Source organism: Homo sapiens, chromosome 19 (genome assembly GCF_000001405.40).
Source record: "Homo sapiens chromosome 19, GRCh38.p14 Primary Assembly".
Lineage (NCBI taxonomy): Eukaryota > Metazoa > Chordata > Mammalia > Primates > Hominidae > Homo > Homo sapiens.
This window is the reverse complement of record NC_000019.10, coordinates 19,645,011-19,667,012: the sequence shown is the minus strand read 5'-3', so window position 1 is coordinate 19,667,012 and position 22,002 is coordinate 19,645,011. Positions and strand designations below refer to the sequence as shown.

Genomic DNA, 22,002 nt, shown 5'->3' with positions numbered 1-22,002 from the left:
GAAGATTATCTTATTTGATACTATGTGATTATTAAGTCCTATTACATTTCCTTTCTCCTTTTACGAAGTCATGTATCTTAATAATATGCAGCCGGGCACGGTGGCTCAGCCTGTAATCCCAGCACTCTGGGAGGCCCAGGCAGGCGGATCATGAGGTCAGGAGTAGGAGACCAGCCTGCCCAACATGGTGAAACACCGTCTCTACTAAAATTACAAAAATTAGCCAGGTGTGGTGGCGCATGCCTGTAATCCTAGCTACTAAGAAGGCTGAGGCAGGAGAACTGCTTGAACCCAGGAGGAGGAGGTTGCAGTGAGCCGAGATCACAGCATTGCGCCTGGGCGACAGAGCATGACTCCATCTCAAAAAAAAAAAAAAAAAAAAAAAAAAAAAAAAAAAAAAAAAAACCAGAGCCGGGCCCGGTGGCTCACGCCTGTAATCCCAGCACTTTGGGAGTCCGAGGCGGGTGGATTACGAGGTCAGGAGTTCAAGACTCAGCCTGGCCAAGAAGGTGAAACCCCGTCTCTACTAAAAATACAAAAAATTAGCTGGGTGCAGTGGCAGGCGCCTGTAATCCCAGCTACTCGGGAGGCTGAGGCAGGAGAATCGCTTGAACTCCGAGGGCAGAGGTTGCAGTGAGCTGAGATCACGCCACTGCACTCCAGCCTCCAGCCTGACAACAGAGTGAGACTCCGTCTCAAAAAAAAAAAAAAAAAAAAAAACCAGAATATGCAGTGGGTGGCCGCAGCGGGTCACACCTGTAGCACTTTGGGAAGTCGAGGCAGGCAGATCTCTTGAGGCCAGGACAGGAGTTCCAGACCAGCCTGGCCAACATGGTGAAACCCTGTCTCTCCTAAAAATACAAAAATTAGCAGGCATGGTGGTTCATGCCTGTAATTCCAGCTACTAAGGAGGCTGAGGCAGGAGAATCATTTGAACCCAAGAGGCAGAGGTTGCAGTGAGCCTAGATTGCAACACTGCACTCCAGCTTGGGCAAGAGTGAGACTCCGTCCCAAGAAAACAAAACAAGACTAGGACTGGGCACCGTGGCTCACACCTGTAATCCTAGCACTTTGGGAGACTGAGGCGGCCAGATCATTAGAGGCCATGAGTTTGAGACCAGACTGGCCAACATGGCGAAACCCGTCTCTACTAAAAACACAAAACATTAGACTGGGAGCGCTGGCTCACACCTGTAATCCTAGCACTTTGGGAGACCAAAGTGGGCGGATCACAAGGTCAGGAGTTCGAGACCAACCTGGCCAACATAGTGAAACCCCATCTCTACTGAAAATACAAAAAATTAGCCAGGCATGGTGGCACGCGCCTGTAGTCCCAGCTACCCGGGAGGCTGAGGCAGGAGAACCGCTGGAACCCAGGAGGCGTAGGTTGCAGTGAGCTGAGATCGCACCACCGCACTCCAGCCTGGGCAACAGAGTGAGACTCCGTCTAAAAAAAAAAGTACAAAAATTAGCCGGAGCGGTGGCATGCGCCTGTAATCCCAGTTACTTGGGAGGCTGAAATGGGAGAATCGATTGAACTCGGAAAGTGGAGTTTGCAGTGAGCGGACATCGCGCCACTGCACTCCAGCCTGGGCGACAGAGTGAGACTTCATCTCGAAAAATTAAAAAAAGAATATGCAACAATATAAGCTACAAAATTTAAATATCCAATAAATTTTAAGTTTAAATAAATTTGCTGTATCAGAGGACAAAAAGAAACATAAAATAGTTACTGTTTGTCACACATACTGTTTAATCCTACTAATTGGTACTGTTAAGTAGTCCTATTGTGGTTTTGTTCAAATAGCATTTATGCAACAGTACAGTTAATAATATAGAACTATATAATTTCTTTTTTTTTTTTTTTTCAGACAGAGTCTCGCTCTGTCGCCCAGGCTGGAGTGCAGTGGCGCGATCTCGGCTCACTGCAAGCTCCGCCTCCCAGGTTCAGGCCATTCTCCTGCCTCAGCCTCCCGAGTAGCTGGGACTACAGGCGCCTGCAACCACGCCCGGCTAATTTTTTGTATTTTTAGTAGAGACGGGGTTTCACTGTGTTAGCCAGGACGGTCTCGATCTCCTGAACTCGTGATCCGCCCGCCTCGGCCTCCCAAAGTGCTGGAATTACAGGGGTGAGCCACCGCGCCCGGCCTAGAAGTATATAATTTCAAGTAAACACCAGTTTTTCATTTTTTATGTTAAAGTGGTAATTTCTTTTTTTTTTTTTTTTTTTTTTTGGAGACAGAGTCTCGCTCTGTCGCCCAGGCTGGAGGGCAGTGGCACAATCTCCGCTCACTGCAAGCTCTGCCTCTCCAGTTCGCGCCATTCTGCCTCAGGCTCCGGAGTAGCTGGGACTACAGGCGCCCGCCACCACGCCCGGAGAATTTTTTTTTTTTTTTTGTATTTTTAGTGGAGACGGGGTTTCACCGCGTTAGCCAGGATGGTCTCGATCTCCTGACCTCGGCCTCCCAAAGTGCTGGGATTACAGGCGTGAGCCACCGCGCCCGGCCTAAAGTGGTTTTTGTAATTCATTTTTCTTTTTTTTTTTTTTGAGACAGTCTTGCTCTGTTGGCCAGGCTGAAGTGCAGTGGAGCAATCTTGGCTCACTGCAACCTCCGTCTCCCGGGCTCAAGCAATTCTCCTGCCTCATCCTCCCGAGTAGCTGGGATTACAGGCATGTGCCACCACGCCCGGCTAATTTTTGTATTTTTAGTAGAGACGTGGTTTCACCATGTTGGGTCTTGAACTCCTGATCTCAGGTGATCCACCCGCCTCGCCTCCCAAAGTGTTGGGATTACAGGCGTGAGCCACCGCGCCCGGCTAGTATTTGTAATTCTTATCTATCACATTAAGGCTCTTGTCCGGTGTGGTTGTGTTCCGGGGCGGTCCCCGACCCCGCCCCTCACAAGCCCCGCCCCCCGCACCGGGCCCCGCCTCCTGAACTCCGAAGCTCCCGACCCCGCCTCCGCAGGGTCCAGGCTTCGCCCCTGGTGACAGGTGGTGCTGGTGTAGTCAAGGAGGAGGGCTCGCTTTTTTTGGTTCAGGTTGTCATGGTGGCGCCCAAGCCCGCCTTGCCGGCCTTGTCTTTTCCGGTCTCAGTCCGGCGTGGCAGCGGAGGCAGGCACCGTTAGGTCTTCCAGTCCCTCTCTGTCATGGCGACGCCCAGCCTCTTCTTCCGGCCACAGCCTGTCATGGCGGCACCCGAAGTAGTCCCTGCCGGGGCCAGCCTGTTCTGTTGCCCTGGCTCTTCCTAGTCCAGGCTGCCATGGCGGCGCTCAGGGCTTACCGGAAGTAAAACTTCGGAAGTGAGGCGTTCCTCTGCCCGGAAGTGAGCGCGGCGCTAGGAAAGATGGCGGCAGCGGCGGCGGTGGGCAACGCGGTGCCCTGCGGGGCCCGGCCTTGCGGGGTCCGGCCTGACGGGCAGCCCAAGCCCGGGCCGCAGCCGCGCGCGCTCCTTGCCGCCGGGCCGGCGCTCATAGCGAACGGTGACGAGCTGGTGGCTGCCGTGTGGCCGTACCGGCGGTTGGCGCTGTTGCGGCGCCTCACGGTGCTGCCATTCGCCGGGCTGCTTTACCCGGCCTGGTTGGGTGCCGCAGCCGCTGGCTGCTGGGGCTGGGGCAGCAGTTGGGTGCAGATCCCCGAAGCTGCGCTGCTCGTGCTTGCCACCATCTGCCTCGCGCACGCGCTCACTGTCCTCTCGGGGCATTGGTCTGTGCACGCGCATTGCGCGCTCACCTGCACCCCGGTAAGTGTGTACACGCGAGCCCGACCCCCAGCACGGTCGAGCCTCGCCGTGGGTCCCAGCTGCGGCCTTCCTGTCGGTCACCATCGCGACCTGGGCCACTCATCTGCCTGGCCTGGATTCCCAGGGGCACCCTCTACACTTTGGCGCAGGCTTAATCATGACCCCACTGCTGACTTGCTGTGCATGCCTGGTGCGGGTTATTTCCTTTTTCTGAAGTCCTCCCTGTTATGGTCATTTAGATTCAGTGATGTAATACTTGTAAAAGGCTTAGCGCAGGGCCCAGCATACGTCGCCCAGGTCAGGTAGGAGTTGTTTATACTAGTTCCCATATTAGCGACTACTCTTGTTCTGGAAACGGCCCTACCTTCCATCTCATCTGTCTCCTACCTTGGTTTTCAAAGTGTAAGGCGAGATCACTGGGATAGGTTTCCCCCATCTATGAAGCTTAGTTGGTTCTTAGACTGAACCAAGTCTTGCTGTCCAGTGCTTAGTGGTCTTCCATACTGTGATGGAAAGGAGCATGAAATGCAGTTAATTACAGTGTTGAAGAGAGGCAGAGGTGTTTATGAGCGAGTCATTTACATGATGTCTTTCCGCAAAATGAGGGTGGTGATACTGAGTTCTGTCGGGGATACAACAGCAAGCAAGGTCGCGCTCCTGACCCACAGTTTAGAGTTCTGAGTGACCAAGTGTCGTCGGAGGAGTTGGTGACTGTGAGCTTCCCTGGGCCTGAAGCAGTGACTGTGTCGTCTCTCTCTGGGCCTGCCTCAGGTGACACCAGCAGGTTTGGAGCCATGGACACTGAGGTATATCAGGAAGCTTCCCCTCTGATTCCAGGAGTGTGTTTGCCTCAAGAAGAGGAAAAGGGAACAGCATCAAGGGCTACAGAAAGACAGAAGCCCCCCACCCTGGCTGGCTCTGAATGTGGGTAGAATCCTCATTCTCCTCTCCTGAGAGACAACCTGTTCTGTCCTTCAAAAAGACTTATCTATCCCAGGGGAGGAGCTCAACGTGGTAGCTTTGAGGTAGTACAATGAAAGACACCAATGAGGGACAAAATAAAGGAGGGGTTAAGGGGACTGTGGCACCGCTCAAACTTCAGCTGCCTTTTGACCTGCAGCTAAGCAGCTTAGCTCTTAACTTCCTCTCCAGGGATGGAGAAGTGGGAGGAGCTGAACAGCCATCAGCCAGGAGAGGTGGATCTGGGTTTGATTCAGATCTCAGAAAGGGCCGCTTCTGCTCTCTGAGTTTCAGTTTCCCCCTTCTGTAAACTGAGAACCGTAACTAACAACTACTGGGTGCCATCTTGAGAAGCGGAGATGATATCTGCAGAGTGCCCGCCCTGGGGCCATCACAGCGTATAGCCTCTTGTACCTTTCTTCCGTGACGTCACGTTTGTAGTTATGTGATTGTTGTTATTTGCTGCCTGCTTTGGAGGCCCATGAACCACCCGTGCGGTGGCGCTTTGTTTCTGCGGGTCATCATTGTGCTCCCCCCATCTCCATGCAGCTCGTCTCCATGCAGCTCGGTCTAGCAGAGCAGCAGAGGAATGGATGGCGGTTCACGGGGTCCAGGGAGCACTGAACGAGTTCCATTCAACATTTCTGTGTCTTAGGTGCTGGGGAAACAGCAGTGAACAAAACAGGCAAATCCCCCTGCCTTTGTGGTGTTACTGGGAGGGAGAACTCATAGTCAGCAGTTGATGCCAAACAGAGATGACATCTAACATCAGGACAGGATGGGACATTGCCGGGAACTTTAGATGGGGCAGCCAGGGAGGGGCTCCTGAGAAGGTGATGTTTCAGCAAAAGCCTGAGGCAGCAAGGGAGCTGTGTGACTGTGTATTCCGGGCAGAGAAAACAGCACATGCCAAGGCCCTTTGCTGAGGCACGATCGAGCCCCATGTGCGTGTGGAGCTGTGGAGTGTAGTGAGCAGGGTTGGTGGAAGAGGCAGAGCTGAGCAGGAGGCCGGGGGCCTGTGATGGGGCGGGGGCTTGGCTCACGTGAATTGAGGACGTACTGGGTGGGTGCCTGGCAGCGTTCTTCCTATTTGAGTTCATGTCACCTTCAGCAGAGCAGAGCCCTGGGCATTAGGTGCTGTCTGTGCACCCAGCTTCCCAGCTTTTTTTGTTGTTGTTTTTGTTTTTGTTTTGTTTTTTGGGGTTTTTTTGTTTGTTTGTTTGTTTGTTTTTGAGATGGAGTCTGGCTCTGTTGCCCAGGCTGGAGTGCAGTGGCACAATCTCGGCTCACTGCAACCTCCGCCTCCCAGGTTCAAGTGATTGTTCTGCCTCAGCCTCCCGAGTAGCTGAGACTACAGGTGCCTGCCACTATGCCCAGCTAATTTTTATATTTTTAGTAGAGACGGGGTTTCACCATATTGGCCAGGCTGGTCTCAAACTCCTGACCTCGTGATCCCCCCTGCCTCAGCCTCCCAAAGTGCTGGGATTACAGGTGTGAGCCACTGCACCCAGCCTTTTTATTTTGAGACAGAGTCCTGCTCTGTCGCCCAGGCTGGAGTGCAGTGGTGCAATCTCGGCTCACTGCAAGCTCTGCCTCCTGGGTGCACGCCATTCTCCTGCCTCAGCCTCCCAAGTAGCTGGGACTACAGATGCCTGCCACCACGCCCAGCTAATTTTTTGTGTTTTTAGTAGAGATGGGGTTTCACCGTGTTAGCCAGGATGGTCTCAATCTCCTGACGTCGTGATCTGCCCACCTCGGCCTCCCAAAGTGCTGGGATTACAGGTGCGAGCCACTGTGCCTGGCTGGTTTTTTGTTTTTTTTTTTTTAATTGAGATAGGATCTCACTCTGCCACCCAGGCTGGAGTGCAGTGTTGCAATCTCAGTTCACTGCAACCTCCGCCTCCCAGTTCAAGGGATTCTCCTGCCTCAGCCTCCTAAGTAGCTGGTATTACAGGTGTGCACCACCGTGTCCGGCTCATTTGTGTATTTTTAGTTGAGACAGGGTTTCGCCACATTGGCGAGGCTGATCTCAAACTCCTGATCTCAAGTGATCCGCCCACCTTGGCCTCCCAAAGTGCTGGGATTATGGGTGTGAGTCACCGTGCCCAGCCTTGTGCTCCCAGCTTTAAGTGTGGCACCAGAGGCACAGCAAGATGGTCTCGTTTGTCCTGATGACAGACGAGGGAGTGACAGAGGCAGCACCAGAGCCCAGTGGCATTTCAGAATATACCCATAGAGCTGCTGCACCCAAAACCTCCCGGGGGGGTCTTGGAACTGTAGGTTGAGAAGAGCTAAGCCACAATGCTTTCTTTGTCTCTGTCAGGAGTACGACCCCAGCAAAGCGACCTTTGTGAAGGTGGTGCCAACCCCCAACAATGGCTCCACGGAGCTCGTGGCCCTGCACCGCAATGAGGTAGGGACTGCCTGCTGGGCTCCTGGAGGAGGGGCTTGAGTAGGATTCCCAGGCGCTGACACCCCAAGGTCAGGGGCCTCTGTGGCAAACACACCTTCTACCGCAGGGCGAAGACGGGCTTGAGGTGCTGTCCTTCGAATTCCAGAAGATCAAGTATTCCTACGATGCCCTGGAGAAGAAGCAGTTTCTCCCCGTGGCCTTTCCTGTGGGAAACGCCTTCTCATACTATCAGAGCAACAGAGGCTTCCAGGAAGACTCAGAGATCCGAGCAGCTGAGAAGAAATTTGGGAGCAACAAGTGAGTCCTTGATTTGCCTGTAGCACCTTTGCCTTTCTGTCCTGCTCCCCTCCTGATTCAGGGTGCCTAGGAAGCGGGACAGAGGCATCTGCCCTTTTATTTATTTATTTACTATTATTTTATTTTTATTTTATTTTTTATTTTTGAGACTGAGTCTCGCTCTGTCACCCAGGCTGGAGTGCAGTGACGCGATCTCAGCTCACCCCAACCTCCGCCTCCCCGGTTCAAGTGATTCTCCTGCCTCAACCTGCCAAGCAGCTGGGAATACAGGCTCCCCCCACCACGCCTGGCTAATTTTTGTATTTTTAGTAGAGATGGGGGTTTCACCATGTTGGCCAGGCTGGTCTTGAACTCCTGACCTCAGGTGATCCTCCCATGTTGGCCTCCCAAAGTGCTGGGATTACAGGCGTGAGCCACTGCACCCGGCCAAATCTGCCCTTTTAGCCAAATGTCCCAGGTGACTGTGATGCCGCTTGAGCAACATGCTCTAAGTCCAGTCTCCCCTGAACTTGCCTGCTGGCAGGAACCCCAGAGGGTCTGCAGCTGGAAGCCCGTGCCCTGGGGTGTGAGACCTTGAGTGTAAGGTTCTTCACAGGAGTCTAGCCTGTGGCCCCTCCTCAGCAACAGCTTTATTTTAAATTCTTTTAAAATGTTTATTTGTGTAGAGATGGGGTCTCGCCGTGTTGCCCAGGCTTGTCTCAAACTCCTGGCCTCAAGCAGTCCTCCTAAATCAACATCCCAAAGTGCTGGGATTACAGGCATGAGTCACTGCACCCAACCTAAACATTTCAGTCCTCACTGTTTCGAGTCTACGCATCTCAGCGCTTCAGAATGGTGATGGAAGACCGTGACCATGTCTGCCCTTTTGTACTGAGTACAATGGCCAATGTGCGGTGCACACCCTCTCCCTTCATCTTCACCAAAACTGCAAATGCTGACACGTGGCTGGGAGCCGGAGAACTGGGCTCCAAACCCCATCATGGCCTTGTTACGATGGTCCTCAACCCAGAAACCCACAGAACACCTAGGGAGCTCTTTCCTGACTTAATCACTGTTCAGAGATTACAAATATGTTGACTACAACTATCAATCTAATACAAGGATTTATAAGAAACATTTAGCAACTTCCCCTACCCCAAGGTTGGCCAGTCACATTAATGGCCTGTGGCAACTACGTTCCCTTTCATGCTGTTCTTACTCAACGCAAAGGTACCCAGCAAGATACAAGGGAAGGGCTTATTGTTTGATAGCAGTGGGGTTGCTCTTTGGTTTCCTCTTCTCACATCCCATACATAAGACGTCCATGCAGTTAAAGGGCAGAGCGAGAATGACCCTCGTTGACATGACTGGTGCCCTGATCAGATTGGACTATGGCACAGAGTACTGCAGAACACACCCTTAGGCCCAAGTCCTTGCATTCTCGAGCCTTTTTTTTTTTTTTTTTTTTTTTTGGAGACAGGGTCTTACTCTGTTACCCAGGCTGGAGTGCAGTGGTGTGATCATGGCTCACTGTAGCCTTGAACTCCTGGGCTCAAGCATTCATCCTGCCTCAGCCTCCCAAATAGCTGGGACCACAGGCACACACCACCACCCCCAGCTAATTTTTAAATTTTTTGTAAATAGAAGGTCTTGCTGTGTTGCCCAGGCTAGTCTCTGACTCCTGGGCTCAAGCACTCCTCCTGCCTCGGCCTCCCAAAGTGCTTGGGATTACAGGCGTGAACCACCCTACTCGACCCATTCTGGGGCTTTAATTCAGGAATCATAGAAAATCTCAGCTTTGGTGGGGCTGGGTCTCAGTGTCTTCTGCTGTCTGTAGCTTCAGGGCCTCCATCTTTCAATCAGAGGTTCCTTCTCTACTTGCTGTGTCACTCGACCAGATGACGGGCTCTCGTCTGACACCAGCCCCAGGCTGCCAGGAAGAGCATATTGCAGATTAAGGAGCTTCATCTGTTTTATGCAGAGCCGAGGGCTGTGGGCGGGCAGCATGTCTACCCCAGGCTCAGCCAGGATGAGGGAGAGCCACTGCCAAATGGATCCTCCTATCTGGAAGCTCGCCAGGGCTCCCGACGCCCACATATGGCTCTTGGTTTCTTGAGAGCGGCCTGCCATGCTCAGGTTGGAGGGGTCAGGGTGGAGACTCCATACCCCAGAGGCCTTGCCCTGGGAACAGGATGGGGCCTGGTCTCTTGCAGGGCCGAGATGGTGGTGCCTGACTTCTCGGAGCTTTTCAAGGAGAGAGCCACAGCCCCCTTCTTTGTATTTCAGGTAAAGCAGCAGCTCTGGCCCATCTCCCCATTTCCTCCCTTGGGGCTTTCCTAACCGGATCAAGCCTGCCCACCACTTCTAAACCTGGAAGCCTCTCCCCACCCTCACATATCAGATCCGGTGGGTGGAAGGGGCTCATGGGAACAGGGCGGGTAGGGCAAGGACAGACAGGCTGGTATCCCACAGGTGTTCTGTGTGGGGCTCTGGTGCCTGGATGAGTACTGGTACTACAGCGTCTTTACGCTATCCATGCTGGTGGCGTTCGAGGCCTCGCTGGTGCAGCAGCAGATGCGGAACATGTCGGAGATCCGGAAGATGGGCAACAAGCCCCACATGATCCAGGTGTGGCTGCCAGGGAGACCCAGGTTGGGGGTGCAGCACAGGTGCGGCTTCTGTGCTGACACCCATGCCCCGCCCAGGTCTACCGAAGCCGCAAGTGGAGGCCCATTGCCAGTGATGAGATCGTACCAGGGGACATCGTCTCCATCGGTGAGGCCGGGTTCCGCTCAGTCCCAGTGGGAGCCCCAGCCTCAGGGCCTCTGGCCAACCCTCCTGCCTCTGCCCTGCAGGCCGCTCCCCACAGGAGAACCTGGTGCCATGTGACGTGCTTCTGCTGCGAGGCCGCTGCATCGTAGACGAGGCCATGCTCACGGGGGAGTCCGTGCCACAGATGAAGGTACTTGGTGGAGGATGGGGATCCTCAAGCTGTTCAGGAGGAAACAGGCCAGGAGGTGGAGGCCCAGGGGGTGGCGGGGATCCCCCTCAGGCACAGGCGGAGGAGGCAGTGTGGGCACAGATGAGCTCTGTGGACTGGGGAGCCGGGTGGTGGGGGCGAGGAAGGAGGTGAGAGAGCCAAGGGCATCCAGGGTACATTGGTGCCCTGGGATGTCAGACCAAGGTGGGCTGGGAGCAGTCCAGAGGGGTGAGTCCCAGACGAGGCCAAGTGCAGGCCCCAGAGAGCAGGCACTGTGAGTGCAATGGGGAGAAGACAGGACGGGGTGAGGGTGAGGATCTGGGAGCTGGGTGGGATGTATTGGTCGGGTGGGGATCCCCCTGGCTCATTCCAGCCTCAAGGTCCAGCTGTCCAGGAACTCAGATGGAGAAGGAAGCAAGGTAGGCCTGGCCATCCAGATTCACGATCTTCCTCCCCAGGAGCCCATCGAAGACCTCAGCCCAGACCGGGTGCTGGACCTCCAGGCTGATTCCCGGCTGCACGTCATCTTCGGGGGCACCAAGGTGGTGCAGCACATCCCCCCACAGAAAGCCACCACGGGCCTGAAGCGTAGGTGCCTCATGGGCGTCTGGGGGTATCTGGGCTTCCACCCCCTTTGCCCGTCTGCTTGATCATGAGGGAGTCAGGACGAGGAGACAGGCATGACGGTGACTCTGCTTCTCTCCCCAGCGGTTGACAGCGGGTGCGTGGCCTACGTCCTGCGGACCGGATTCAACACATCCCAGGTGCGGGGCCAGGTCTGGGGAGGGCGGGCCCCAGGGCAGTTGGACAGCCAAGGTATCAGCCCTTTCCGACCCCAGAACATCTGCCCCACGGGCTGACTCTGGCAGCACGGCCCTGGACCTGGGCCAGGGTGCAGAGGCCACCCCAAGACCAGGCCCACGCTTCCAGGCCTGAGCTGCTGGAGGGAGTCCAGACAGCAGAAAGGCTGTTCCTCCATTCCTCCAGGGCAAGCTGCTGCGCACCATCCTCTTCGGGGTCAAGAGGGTGACTGCGAACAACCTGGAGACCTTCATCTTCATCCTCTTCCTCCTGGTGTTTGCCATCGCTGCAGCTGCCTATGTATGGATTGAAGGTAAGCGCCACGGCCTCTGTGGTCCCCTGCGCCCACCCTCCGAGGCTCCAGGTTGGCAGGCCCTGTCTCCACAGGTACCAAGGACCCCAGCCGGAACCGCTACAAGCTGTTTCTGGAGTGCACCCTGATCCTCACCTCGGTCGTGCCTCCTGAGCTGCCCATCGAGCTGTCCCTGGCCGTCAACACCTCCCTCATCGCCCTGGCCAAGCTCTGTGAGTGTGTCAAATGGGATGGGGTGCCGAGTGGGCTGGGGCCAAGCAGGACCCCTGACCTCACTCCCGCCCCTAGACATGTACTGCACAGAGCCCTTCCGGATCCCCTTTGCTGGCAAGGTCGAGGTGTGCTGCTTTGACAAGACGGGGACGTTGACCAGTGACAGCCTGGTGGTGCGCGGTGTGGCCGGGCTGAGGTAAGCATCAGGGGCCCTGCAGCAAAGGTCACCCAGATGGGGTTTCTGGGAAGTCGAGAGACAGGTGGCCCATCCACCCCAAGCCCTTGCAGTGAGGGCCCGTCAGAGGCCCTGCCTCGGGTTCATTTCCAGGGGCTCCCCACAAAGTCCTGGGTGTCAGCCATGGTAGCGGCACGGGGGCTCAGCTCAGGCCTGGAACATCCCACACCAGCCATGCACCACATGACCCCCAGGCACAATGCCTGGCTTCTGGGGGCATCTGTGAAGCAGGTGCAGGTCTCATAAAGACCCAGTTGGCGCCCAAGCCACCCCAGTGACAAGCACGGAATGAATGGCCTTGGGGGTCCTTCTGCTGGTGGGGATGCAGCTTCGCCCTACCCGCCTGCACTCTGTAACCAGCTGTTCCCCGACCTTGCAGAGACGGGAAGGAGGTGACCCCAGTGTCCAGCATCCCTGTAGAAACACACCGGGCCCTGGCCTCGTGCCACTCGCTCATGCAGCTGGACGACGGCACCCTCGTGGGTGACCCTCTAGAGAAGGCCATGCTGACGGCCGTGGACTGGACGCTGACCAAAGGTGAGGGGCTGGGGCCTCAGGCCCAGCAAGGGGGAGCCACTGGCTCTCACAGCCCTAGGCAGGTGGGCTGCACCCCTCAGAGCATCTTGGGGACAGGCAGGCCTACAGCTCTGATGCTCCCCGAGGTGGGTGGCCAGAGGCTCACTTTAGACCCAGGATAGGCCACGTCCTTGGGTGTCCCTCTGGGTTGGAATCTGCCCTGCCCTGGCCGAAGCCACAGTGCCAGGGTCCTCCAAGCCCAGGTCTTCCAGCTCTGGACCAACACCTGCTCTAGCCCAGAGCCCCGATCAGGCCCTGGGGGAGGCAGGAGGGAGGTGGGGGAGGCCGGGGTGAGAGGTAGGGGCTTGGCTGCCTCTTTGGAGCAAAGCCCCTCAGGACTCGTACTTATTTGTTTCCAGATGAGAAAGTATTCCCCCGAAGTATTAAAACTCAGGGGCTGAAAATTCACCAGCGCTTTCATTTTGCCAGTGCCCTGAAGCGAATGTCCGTGCTTGCCTCGTATGAGAAGCTGGGCTCCACCGACCTCTGCTACATCGCGGCCGTGAAGGGGGCCCCCGAAACTCTGCACTCCATGGTGAGCTGGCCCCAGCCTGGGGCAAGGGGTGGGGGCGCGGGGCAGCCCGTGACATCCCCCTGCATTCCCTGCAGTTCTCCCAGTGCCCGCCCGACTACCACCACATCCACACCGAGATCTCCCGGGAAGGAGCCCGCGTCCTGGCGCTGGGGTACAAGGAGCTGGGACACCTCACTCACCAGCAGGTACGGGCCCAGGCTCCCCCTGCCTTCACCATGTGCCTGGCCCGTCAGCTCCTCCCTGAGTCACCTCCTGTGTCCCACAGTGCCAGGTTGAATGGTTGTGATTTTGTCCTCCTTGCCCCGCCTCCAGCTTCTACCTTTGGAGACTCCAAATGGCACTCAGTCTGTCCACTGCTGTGGGGACCCACCCAGTCCTGGCTCACGCAGAGCACACGCAGGGCTTACCTGCCCCAGTCCTGGTGTGTCCCTAGCTCTACTCTTTTGCCCTGGTCTTGGGCAGGGCTAGGTGGCATCCTCAGCCCTCTCACCCATCCATCCTCCACAAAGCCCACCCTCCGCCTCCACCACCGGCACATCTGCCGCTTGGCTTCTTCCTGGGCTCTCGTTCTTTCTGCTTGCACCCTACAGCTGCGGATCCTTCCAGAATTTAGCCTCAGGTTGCAGTACTGTGTGCAGAGCCCAGGCCACAGCTCACAGCCTGCATGCTCTGCCCCGTTCCTGCACCTGGAGCCCCCTTCCCAGTGACACAGGTCCTCATCGCCTTCATAGTGGCCACTTCTGAGGCCTTTCCACCCTCTCTGGATTCCATTCTCACCTCCTCTCTCATGGCACTCAGCACTCCGATTTCTGTGACTTTCTTGATCATGCGTCTCCCCTGGTGCAGTGTGAGCTCCCTAAGGCCAGGGGTCTGTGCCCAGTCTGTGGTATGTGGTGGAGCCCCAGTGAGTAAGAGTTCCTGGCTAAACTCCAACATTATTGGGAGAGTCCCTACTTCATTGACTTGGAAGCTGAGCCACAAGGGACTCTGTGATGTGCCCATGTCCGCAAGCAGGACATAGAGCCACATTCGGGGGACCCAGACCCCCCAGTCACTGCCAGATCCCACCCCTCAAGCGTGCCTGGTACCCTCCTGGCATTTCTCCCCTCCCAACCCTCGCATGTGCCCACTACGGGAACAGGGCCTTCCATTGTCCCCTTGGCTCCCAGCGCATGGTCAGAGCTCAGGAAATGCAGAGTGTGGGCAGAGGGAGGGACAGATGGTGAGGGTGCCCCTGTCTGTCCGCAGGCCCGGGAGGTCAAGCGGGAGGCCCTGGAGTGCAGCCTCAAGTTCGTCGGCTTCATTGTGGTCTCCTGCCCGCTCAAGGCTGACTCCAAGGCCGTGATCCGGGAGATCCAGAATGCGTCCCACCGGGTATGGGACGGTGCTCGGCTCCACCCTCTGCATGGGAAATAGAGGCGAGGAGATGACAATTACAGCTTCGTGGTAGGGGTGGGCACCCAAGTCTCACAGGCTGCATGTTTTAGCTGAGCAAGATCATAGCTCAGGTGCTAACATTGCCACTGGCCCAAGGACACTCTGGGACCCGCCTGTGCTGGCTCCTCTCTCCTCCACAGACCACTCCCTTCACTCCCCGCATCATGGGAAGATGGGGGCACTTCTCTCCACTTCCCCGTTCCACCGCCGTCCTGGAGAGAAGGAAGCTGAGGCTGGGGAGTTGGGTGGGGGGCACTGTCTGCCTGTCCTGGTGGCTTCTGGTGGCTTGTGTTTTCTATTTTGGGACTTAGGGTGTCTTTTAGGGTGTAAGGGGTGAGTGAGCCGTCTCAGAGGATGATGGCTCTGGGTCACATGGGTGATGTGATTAGTCCCCACCAAGCCCAGAGGTCATGGTCCCATCCTCCTCTTTGCTGAAATATTACCCCCATGGGCAGCTACCAAGCCAAAAGGGTCCACCTCAGGGGCAGGTTGTTCATTTGTATTGCAAATCCAAGCTAAGGGTGTCTTCAGAAGGACGCACATACACGTGTCATTTGTGTAAAATGACCTGGGTGGGGGTGGGTTGTGGCCCTTGGAAGCCCATTCAGCATCTCGGTTAGAGGCCCAGGATCTCCCACTGTGGCCTACCTTAGAAGGAGACTTGGCAGCCTTGTCTCTGGCCTAGAGCTTGGCCCCAGGGTGCCATGCTGAGCCTCTGCCCCTCTTTACCCAAGGTGGTCATGATCACGGGAGACAACCCGCTCACTGCATGCCACGTGGCCCAGGAGCTGCACTTCATTGAAAAGGCCCACACGCTGATCCTGCAGCCTCCCTCCGAGAAAGGTGAGGCCCTAGCCTGGCCCACAGTGGGGAAGGGGGACCCTGAGTCCAAGAACAGCTCCCATCGCAACAGCCCACCTGTGTACCAGGCCTCAGCAGCACAGTGTCTTCAAATGCCTGGCACCACTAATCACAGCCCTGGCCCACTGGGCACCTCGGACAGCATGTGAGCGTTCACTGGGTCGCAGGTCCCAGGATGTGCGGCATGTAGGTGTTTATTTACCATAATGAGGCGATAGTCTGACTGCCAGCTCGGGTTTCCTGTGCACTCATGGGCAGATACTGCTCCTACCACGCTTACTCCCCATCCTCAGTGTCATCCTCATTTCACACCCTCTTTGGCCCGGCAAGCTGCCCATGTACCGAGTGCTCCCTTCCCGAGCACAGGGACTGCTGGCATCCTCAGCCACAGTTGATGGCAGTTTGCCCAGTGCTCAGCCTGACCAGACCCCAGGCGGAGCGCTCCGTGCGTGTTACTGCGTTGGTCCCTCCACCCCATCCTGCACCACACGGGGTGGCTTGCCTTCCCCACACCACAGAGGAGGAAGCTGGCTGGGTCAGCTCTCGGGGCCCTGCTTTGTAGAGAAGGGACAGAGGCTCAGAAGTGAACCCACTTGCCCAGGTCACTTCCAATCCATGGCTAAGGATTGGAATCCAGACAGCCTGATTCCAGAGCTCAAGGCTCCAACCTCTCCCCAGTGACCTCTTTGAGCAATGCCCTGGATTCAGATTGATGAAGAGGCAGACATAGAGACCCAGCCCCTCCCAGCTAGAGGTGTGGGGCTTACCAGATACCTGCCCCAGAGCTAGAGGTGAAGCCCCTGTGGGCGCACGCAGTTCAGGACCTGCATGAGTGTTGACAGGGCCCTAAGAAGAACCACATGGAGCAGTGTTGCCACAGGGCTGCTGGCAGCAAACATTCACAGGTCTGGGCCAGAGCAGCTTCCGGAACCTCCAGGCCACCTCTCAGAGGACTCGGTCCCTGCCCTCCCTCTGTTCTATTGGTCGCAGGCCTCCCCCTGTCCCAGCCCCAGCTACCGGGGTCTTCCAGGGCCTGGGGATTGTGGGCAGGTGGCATGGAGCGGATGAGCAGAACTGTTGATTGACAAGCGAAGCTGGTCTAGCAACAGCTGCAGCACAAGCCAGGTGGAAGTGTGCTGCCCTTCAGCTTGAGATGGTCCAGGGTGAGCAGGCAGTGCCAGGAGGGCTGGCGGGCCGCCCTTGGCCATCCTCAGCGCCCAGCATCCAAGCCAGGGCCAGCCAGCAAGAAAGGGGAAGTGGAGCAAGAAGATGTTGAGAACTCAGGGGCCCTGTCAGAGTTGGGAGGGGGCCCAGCCCCGAGAAAACAGGATTTCAGAGAGGCCACGGGCGCAGGGATAAATGAGGTGAGGGCCTGGTGTGGGGTTTCCCAAGGAGAGCGCAATAGCCCCCTTCTGTGTGTTTCAGGTTAGGGGGCCTTGCATGAGGTGGGGGCATGGCTTAGCTGGGGTCAGACTGCCCAGGTTCTAATCTGGCTGTGTCCCGGGCTCTCAGGCAAGTAGCTCAGGCCCCAGGCTCTTGGTTCCACCCTGTGCACCTGAGGGACATTCTTTGTGGAGTCCCCAGAGAAGGGCTGGGGGTCACCTGGGTGGGTAGGGAGGTGCGGGCTCCAGAGAGGAGAGACTGGCTGGTGCTGGGGTCCGAGTGGAGGGAGGGTGCTTCTGAGCCCGGTCAGCCAAGCCCCCAGCCCTAACCCTAGGTGCTGCCCGCAGGCCGGCAGTGCGAGTGGCGCTCCATTGACGGCAGCATCGTGCTGCCCCTGGCCCGGGGCTCCCCAAAGGCACTGGCCCTGGAGTACGCACTGTGCCTCACAGGCGACGGCTTGGCCCACCTGCAGGCCACCGACCCCCAGCAGCTGCTCCGCCTCATCCCCCATGTGCAGGTGTTCGCCCGTGTGGCTCCCAAGCAGAAGGTATGTGCACAGCCCTAGGGGTCAGGGGCACAGCGGTAGGCACGCAGCCCCTGCTCAGCCTGTCTCCGCCCATACAGGAGTTTGTCATCACCAGCCTGAAGGAGCTGGGCTACGTGACCCTCATGTGTGGGGATGGCACCAACGACGTGGGCGCCCTGAAGCATGCTGACGTGGGTGAGTGCTGTGGGCTAGGGTATTTCGTTTGTGGACGAGGTGTTGAGGACATGTCACTGAGCTAGAAAGACAGACCTGGCCCTTGGTGACAGCCACGGGGGCACTAATTCCTGTGAGGATGGGAGGGGGTGGCAAGGTCAGGGGCTTTGAGGGCAGGAAGGGATGCGAATATCCCAGGAACAGAGCAGGGCGGAGGCCAGAGGCCAGGAGAGAGGCAACAAGTTGGGAGAGTGACTCAGAAAACCCAGAGCTGAAGCCATGAAGATGGTTCATAGCCCCAGATCTCTGTCAAAAGCACACAGATGGCTGAGCACTGTGGCTCCTGCCTGGAATCCCAGTGCTTTGGGAGGCTGAGGCGGGAGGATCACTTGAGTCTGGGAGTTCAAGGCAGTGGTGTGATCCACTCTAACCTAAGTGACAGTGCAAGACCCTGTCTTTTTTTTTTTTGACGGAGCCTTGCTCTGTCACCCAGGCTGGAGTACAATGGCACGATCTGGGCTCACTGCAACCTCCATCTCCCGGGTTCAAGCGATTCTCCTGCCTCAGCCTCCCAAATAGCTGGGATTACAGGCACGTGCCACCATGCCTGGCTAATTTTTGTATTTTTAGTAGAGATGGGGTTTCACCATGTTGGCCAGGATGGTCTCCAATTCCTGACCTCAAGTGATCCACCCGCCTTGGCCTCCCAAAGTGCTAGGATTACAGGTGTGAACCACTGCATCCCACCGAACCCTGCCTTTTTTTTTTTTTTTTTTTTTTGAGACAGTTTCTCTCTTGTTGCCCAGGCTGGAGTGCAATAGCACGGTCTCAGCTCACTGCAACCTCTACTTCCCGGGTTCAAGCAATTCTCCTTCTTCAGCCTCCCAAGTAGCTAGGATTACAGGCGCCAGCCACCATGCCCATCTAATTTTTGTATTTTTAGTAGAGATGGGGTTTCACCATGTTGGCCAGGCTGGTCTCCAACTCCTGACTTCAGATGATGCGCCTGTGTTGGCCTCCCAAAGTGCTGGGATTACAGGTGTGAGCCACCTCACCTGGCCTTTTTTTCTTTTTTCTTTTTTTTTTTTTGCAAGAACTCAGGTGTTAAATTGAATTTTAAAGATCAATCTTACGTTGGTTTTTTTGCTTTTCCAATATTTATCTGCTTTTATCTACTAAAGCATTTATTGAGTGTTGTTTGCCTCCTAGAATCATGCTCCTTGGCTATTTCTTTTGAAATCAGTTTAGGTTGTTTTGTTTTGTTTTATTTTGAGACTGTCTCGCTCTGTCGCCCAGGCTGGAGTGCGGTGGTGTGATCTCATCTCACTGCAACCTCCGCCTCCCGGGTTCAAGCGATTCTCCTGCCTCAGCCTCCCGAGTAGCTGGAATTACAGGCACATGCCACCACCCCTGGCTAATTTTTGTATTTTTAGTAGAGACGGGGTTTCGCCGTATCAGCCAGGCTGGTCTCAAACTCCTGACCTCAGGTGATCCGCCCACCTCAGCCTTCCAAAGTGCTGAGATAACAGGTGTGAGCCACTGCGCTCGGCCAAAATCAGTTTAGTTTTGACCTATCTCGTGTTGTGTGTTTTTTCATTGCATTTGTTGTGGGGGTTTATTGTTGGTGGTTTGTTTTCTTAAAGTAGTTTGTAGAAAGCAACACGGGCACTCTCTGAGGTCTCCTTAGGGTGTCAGGTGAAATGGGGAAGTCTGGGAACTGTCCTCACGGGAGCCAGCTGGGGGACTTCAGGACCAGTGGCTCTGAAGCCAGCAATCTTCCCCTCCGTGGAGCCTGCTCCTCCGGGTCTGACACCCTCCTGCCCCCCAGGTGTGGCGCTCTTGGCCAATGCCCCTGAGCGGGTTGTCGAGCGGCGACGGCGGCCCCGGGACAGCCCAACCCTGAGCAACAGTGGCATCAGAGCCACCTCCAGGACAGCCAAGCAGCGGTCGGGGCTCCCTCCCTCCGAGGAGCAGCCAACCTCCCAGAGGGTGAGTCCCAAGAGGGGAGGTGCTGCACCCCATCCTGGCCAGGGCTGACAGCCTGCTGTCTACCCTGCAGGACCGCCTGAGCCAGGTGCTGCGAGACCTCGAGGACGAGAGTACGCCCATTGTGAAACTGGGGGATGCCAGCATCGCAGCACCCTTCACCTCCAAGCTCTCATCCATCCAGTGCAGTGAGTTGCCTGCCCCCGCTCCCCCTCCCTTCATTCCCCCCTTGGCACCCCTACCCACACCCACACCTGCCTCCCCACCACCCTGCAGTCTGCCACGTGATCAAGCAGGGCCGCTGCACGCTGGTGACCACGCTACAGATGTTCAAGATCCTGGCGCTCAATGCCCTCATCCTGGCCTACAGCCAGAGCGTCCTCTACCTGGAGGGAGTCAAGTTCAGTGACTTCCAGGCCACCCTACAGGGGCTGCTGCTGGCCGGCTGCTTCCTCTTCATCTCCCGTTCCAAGGTGGGCCCCAGAGGTGCTGGAAGGCCAGGGATGCATGGGCCTGCCAGGGCCAGGCTGATATAGGCACGGGAATTGTCATCCCCAAGTTACAGGACCCAGGGCCCCAGAGATGGGGGCTGTAGCTGGGATGGCTCAGGAAATGCTGGCAGGGCAGGTGTGGACTGAGGCTCCCAGACCCCTCCAGGTGGTACAGCTTGGCGTCCACACCTGTCCACAGGTAGGGGTCCCAGGGGTGGGCCCCACAGAGCCCCACAAGCAAGGAACAATCATCAAGAGGGTAAAAAAACAACTAAGTGGGTCATAGGCTACACAGGACAGGCTGGTGGACAGCTGGGGAGGCCTGTGCGACACCGACACTCAGGCCAAGGCGTAAAGAACCAGGGGGGCCAGCGGCCAGGAACTGGACACAAAGGCCCCAAACAGGCATGGGCTGACGCAGGGAGTCCCCGGTGGCTGGAGGGGGTGGGAGATTGGCTGGGCGGGACTGTGCCTGTCCCGTGGGCTCCAGGGAGGGCAGGATCTGCTTCATGATTCTCAGGCCCCTGTGGCTGCCATGGGGAGCCTGGATGGCGGAGCCGGGGCCAGGGAGGCAGCCCTGGGCTCAGGGGTGAGAGGCAGGCAGGGATCCAGGGACTGGTGCTGACCCATGGAATCCCCCAGGATTTGGTGGTGGCTGTACACAAGGTCTCCCGGGAGGCAGGGGATGTTACTGCCTGCTGTGTGGGCAGGGTGGCCCCAAGTGAGCCAGATCCTGACTCCCCCACCCGCCTTGCTGCTGCAGCCCCTCAAGACCCTCTCCCGAGAACGGCCCCTGCCCAACATCTTCAACCTGTACACCATCCTCACCGTCATGCTCCAGTTCTTTGTGCACTTCCTGAGCCTTGTCTACCTGTACCGTGAGGCCCAGGCCCGGAGCCCCGAGAAGTAAGTGCTGCCTTGGAGGAGGTGATGTCCCTGCAGCTGAGAATAGCAGGAGGATGACTCCACAGACTTCAGCAGGAGAGGCTGGGGGTTGTCCAGGGTGTCCAGGGAGGGGCACTAGGCCAGGCAGAGCCCTAGCTCTGTGCCAGGGCAGCAGGAAGCCACACAGTGTGTGTGAGCCGGAGCAGGAGAGGGGGCCCTGACTCCCATGTGTCCTTGCAGGCAGGAGCAGTTCGTGGACTTGTACAAGGAGTTTGAGCCAAGCCTGGTCAACAGCACCGTCTACATCATGGCCATGGCCATGCAGATGGCCACCTTCGCCATCAATTACAAAGTAAGGCCTGGGCCCTGCCCAAACATTCACTGTCTGCCCACCCAGCCCCACCCCATGAAGCCATCTGTCCCTCATCCCCACAGGGCCCGCCCTTCATGGAGAGCCTGCCCGAGAACAAGCCCCTGGTGTGGAGTCTGGCAGTTTCACTCCTGGCCATCATTGGCCTGCTCCTCGGCTCCTCGCCCGACTTCAACAGCCAGTTTGGCCTCGTGGACATCCCTGTGGAGGTCAGTGGCCCTGTGGAGGTGACCCTGGGGCTCAGCTTGATGGGTCCCTCCTATGGCAGTGACCCTGAGCTGGGCTGCAGGTCTCCAGCTCACCATCCCTCCCTGCCCCGACAGTTCAAGCTGGTCATTGCCCAGGTCCTGCTCCTGGACTTCTGCCTGGCGCTCCTGGCCGACCGCGTCCTGCAGTTCTTCCTGGGGACCCCGAAGCTGAAAGTGCCTTCCTGAGATGGCAGTGCTGGTACCCACTGCCCACCCTGGCTGCCGCTGGGCGGGAACCCCAACAGGGCCCCGGGAGGGAACCCTGCCCCCAACCCCCCACAGCAAGGCTGTACAGTCTCGCCCTTGGAAGACTGAGCTGGGACCCCCACAGCCATCCGCTGGCTTGGCCAGCAGAACCAGCCCCAAGCCAGCACCTTTGGTAAATAAAGCAGCATCTGAGATTTTAAAAAGCCCTGCCTCCACCTCGTCTGTGCCACACGGTGTTTGCTGGGGGCTCGGGGACAGAGGGTCACTGAGGAAGGTCCCAGCACCCTCCCCACAGGCGTGTGATGTTGGTGAAACCCTCTGGCACTTTCAGCACTTGAACATGGACTTGTCCCTGCCCAGAGAATTCAGTGCATATTTTCTAGTTTAACA

General features: G+C 57.0%; 1 protein-coding gene across 1 annotated transcript, besides 10 other annotated features; it reads left to right on the top strand.

The window, feature by feature from the left end:
• Positions 2,851–2,900: a silencer, noted in NCBI's record as "silent region_10455". NCBI's record gives its function as "represses an Ori minimal core promoter by ATAC-STARR-seq in GM12878 lymphoblastoid cells {active_cell/tissue: GM12878}" and the evidence as "EXISTENCE:reporter gene assay evidence [ECO:0000049][PMID:35858748]".
• Positions 3,001–3,290: an enhancer, noted in NCBI's record as "active region_14369". NCBI's record gives its function as "activates an Ori minimal core promoter by ATAC-STARR-seq in GM12878 lymphoblastoid cells {active_cell/tissue: GM12878}" and the evidence as "EXISTENCE:reporter gene assay evidence [ECO:0000049][PMID:35858748]".
• Positions 3,001–3,989: a biological region, named in NCBI's record as "H3K27ac hESC enhancer GRCh37_chr19:19773833-19774815".
• Positions 3,007–3,989: an enhancer, noted in NCBI's record as "H3K27ac hESC enhancer chr19:19773833-19774815 (GRCh37/hg19 assembly coordinates)". NCBI's record gives its function as "activates a minimal SCP1, AML or CMV promoter by ChIP-STARR-seq in primed H9 embryonic stem cells {active_cell/tissue: H9 hESC(primed)}" and the evidence as "EXISTENCE:reporter gene assay evidence [ECO:0000049][PMID:30033119]".
• On the top strand, positions 3,337–21,815 carry ATP13A1 (ATPase 13A1). Its single transcript, NM_020410.3, has 26 exons — positions 3,337–3,742; positions 7,026–7,115; positions 7,222–7,412; positions 9,605–9,677; positions 9,864–10,019; positions 10,097–10,166; positions 10,247–10,353; positions 10,830–10,959; positions 11,080–11,135; positions 11,359–11,485; positions 11,560–11,697; positions 11,774–11,894; positions 12,313–12,470; positions 12,869–13,044; positions 13,119–13,229; positions 14,293–14,418; positions 15,216–15,324; positions 17,073–17,272; positions 17,350–17,446; positions 19,254–19,414; positions 19,485–19,599; positions 19,688–19,884; positions 20,666–20,808; positions 21,028–21,139; positions 21,223–21,366; positions 21,481–21,815. Exons 1-26 carry the CDS (start codon positions 3,347–3,349, stop codon positions 21,589–21,591), a joined length of 3,615 nt encoding a protein of 1,204 aa, NP_065143.2. The 5' UTR covers positions 3,337–3,346; the 3' UTR covers positions 21,592–21,815.
• Positions 3,341–3,600: a silencer, noted in NCBI's record as "silent region_10454". NCBI's record gives its function as "represses an Ori minimal core promoter by ATAC-STARR-seq in GM12878 lymphoblastoid cells {active_cell/tissue: GM12878}" and the evidence as "EXISTENCE:reporter gene assay evidence [ECO:0000049][PMID:35858748]".
• Positions 3,634–3,735: an enhancer, noted in NCBI's record as "conserved acetylation island sequence C14". NCBI's record gives its function as "activates a minimal heat-shock promoter by reporter assays in Jurkat T cells {active_cell/tissue: Jurkat}" and the evidence as "EXISTENCE:reporter gene assay evidence [ECO:0000049][PMID:17135569]".
• Positions 4,121–4,170: an enhancer, noted in NCBI's record as "active region_14368". NCBI's record gives its function as "activates an Ori minimal core promoter by ATAC-STARR-seq in GM12878 lymphoblastoid cells {active_cell/tissue: GM12878}" and the evidence as "EXISTENCE:reporter gene assay evidence [ECO:0000049][PMID:35858748]".
• Positions 4,871–5,350: an enhancer, noted in NCBI's record as "active region_14367". NCBI's record gives its function as "activates an Ori minimal core promoter by ATAC-STARR-seq in GM12878 lymphoblastoid cells {active_cell/tissue: GM12878}" and the evidence as "EXISTENCE:reporter gene assay evidence [ECO:0000049][PMID:35858748]".
• Positions 4,871–5,591: a biological region, named in NCBI's record as "H3K4me1 hESC enhancer GRCh37_chr19:19772231-19772878".
• Positions 4,944–5,591: an enhancer, noted in NCBI's record as "H3K4me1 hESC enhancer chr19:19772231-19772878 (GRCh37/hg19 assembly coordinates)". NCBI's record gives its function as "activates a minimal SCP1, AML or CMV promoter by ChIP-STARR-seq in primed H9 embryonic stem cells {active_cell/tissue: H9 hESC(primed)}" and the evidence as "EXISTENCE:reporter gene assay evidence [ECO:0000049][PMID:30033119]".
• Positions 21,816–22,002: the final 187 nt, after the last annotated feature.

What these genes read in the sequence shown, in the direction of transcription:
- ATP13A1 (NM_020410.3), top strand. Translation starts at nt 3,347, where the DNA reads ATGGCGGCAGCGGCGGCGGTGGGCAACGCGGTGCCCTGCGGGGCCCGG. An exon ending in TGGCCCTGCACCGCAATGAG is followed by an intron (nt 7,116 to 7,221) that starts GTAGGGACTGCC and finishes CTTCTACCGCAG; the next exon opens with GGCGAAGACGGGCTTGAGGT. An exon ending in AAGAAATTTGGGAGCAACAA is followed by an intron (nt 7,413 to 9,604) that starts GTGAGTCCTTGA and finishes GGTCTCTTGCAG; the next exon opens with GGCCGAGATGGTGGTGCCTG.